This window comes from Homo sapiens, chromosome 8, assembly GCF_000001405.40.
Source record: "Homo sapiens chromosome 8, GRCh38.p14 Primary Assembly".
Classification (NCBI taxonomy): domain Eukaryota; kingdom Metazoa; phylum Chordata; class Mammalia; order Primates; family Hominidae; genus Homo; species Homo sapiens.
Window position 1 is genome coordinate 109,764,014 of NC_000008.11, and position 1,874 is coordinate 109,765,887.

A 1,874-nucleotide genomic window follows, 5' to 3' on the forward strand; every position below is an offset into this window, starting at 1 on the left:
TTGGTCAGTTCTGCTATTGACTGATGTGTTCTTCAGCATGTCAATTGCATTTTTCAACTCCAGAATTTCTGCTTCTTTTTAATTATTTTGATCTCTTTATTAATGTTAAATGATATAATTCTGAATTCCTTCTTTGTGCTATTGAATTTTGAATTCTTTCTTTGTGCTATCTTGAATTTTTTGAGTTTTCTCAAAACATCTATTTTGAATTCTCTGTCACAAAGGTCACATATACGTTTCTCCAGGATTGATCCCTGGTGCCTTATTTAGTTCATATGGTGAGATCACGTATTCCTGGATGGTGCTGATGCAAGTATTCTTTGGTGTCTGGTCATTAAAGAGTTAGGTTTTTATTGTAGTCTTCATAGTCTGGGCTTGTTTGTGCTCATCCTTCTTGAGAAGGCTTTTGAGGTATTTGAAGGGAATTGGGCCCTAAACTCAATGTCACTGTGGTTTTTGCAGACTCATAGAGGTACTCTCTTGGTGGTCTTGGATAAGATCTGGAAGAATTATCTGGATTACCAGCAAAGACTTGTTCTTTTCCCTTACTTTCTCCCCCAAAGTGAAGTTTGTCTCTGTCTGTGCTGAGTTACCTGGAACTGGGGGTGTGGTGATGGCACGCACCCTTGGGGCCACCACCACTGGGACTGTGCTGGGTTAGGCCTGAAGCCAGCACAGCACTGGGTCTCACCTAAGGTCTACTGTAACCACTACCAGGCTACTGCTTATGTTGACTCAAAGCCTTAGGGCTCCACAATTAGCAGCTGGTGATGTCAGCCAGTTTTGTGTTCTTCCCTCCAGGATAGAGAGTTCCCCCAGGTACCGACTGGGTTCAGAGATGCTATCTGGTGGCCAGAAATTGGTGTCAAAAACCTTAGAAATTTACCTGTTGTTCTGTTCTACAGTGGCTAAACTGGAACTCAAACCATAATACAAATCCTTCCTGCTCTTTCCTCCCCTTTCCAAAGGGAGAGGAGCCTCTCTCTATGGCTACCATCACCACTGGCCCATGGTGGAGTTCTGCCAGGCCATAGCCGATGTTCCATAAATCTCAGTGGCTCTTTTGTCAGCTTATGGTAAATGCTGCCAGGCTTGGGTCTCACCCTTCAGAGCAGTGGGCTCCACTCTGGTCCAGGACAGGTCCCAAAATACTGTCCAAGAGCATCAGCCTGGACTTGTGGATCCCAAGAGACTGCTTGTTGCTCTACCCCACTGTGGCCAAGCTGGTACCTGAGGTGCAAGACACAGTCCCCTTTTCTTTTTTCTTTGCTTTTCTCCAACAGAAAGAGTCTCACCATAATCACCACAGCTAAGAATGTGCTGGGTCATACTGTAAGTCAGCACTTCTCAGAGCCCAAGGCCATGCTACCTGGGTATAACTACTTGTTATTCAGGACCCAAGCGCTCTTTTGTCAGCAGGTGATTAATCCTGCTAGGTCTGGGTCCTTCCCTTCAAGGCAGCAGTTCTACTTTTGGCCCAGGGTGTGTCTAGAAATGTAATCCACGAGCTGGGCTTGGCAGAGCCTCACGACTCTGCCTTATCCTACTGCAGCTGAGCTGGTATCCAAGATACAAGACAAAGTCCTCTTTACTGTTTGCTCTCCTCTCCTTAAGCAGAAGGAGGGAGTCACTTTCTTTGCCACAAGCTGCACTGTCTGGGCCTGGGGCAGGGGTAGCGCAAGCACTCCCTTAGCCACCCCGACTGGTGTCCCCCTAGGTCATGTGCCACACTAGTCCACTGTCTCTGAGTCCAGTCTAGCACTAAGAGTTGCCTAAGATTGCAGCCCTTGTGTCCTAGGCTGCTTTTCAAGCCTAGGAACCCAGAGCACTTTGGCCCATGTGGCAAGGCTTGCTGAGAAGCTCAAGTTCCAGCT

At 47.0% G+C, this 1,874-nt stretch overlaps 1 annotated feature.

Annotated features, from left to right (window-relative positions):
- Positions 1,374–1,874: an enhancer, noted in NCBI's record as "H3K4me1 hESC enhancer chr8:110777616-110778116 (GRCh37/hg19 assembly coordinates)". NCBI's record gives its function as "activates a minimal SCP1, AML or CMV promoter by ChIP-STARR-seq in primed H9 embryonic stem cells {active_cell/tissue: H9 hESC(primed)}" and the evidence as "EXISTENCE:reporter gene assay evidence [ECO:0000049][PMID:30033119]".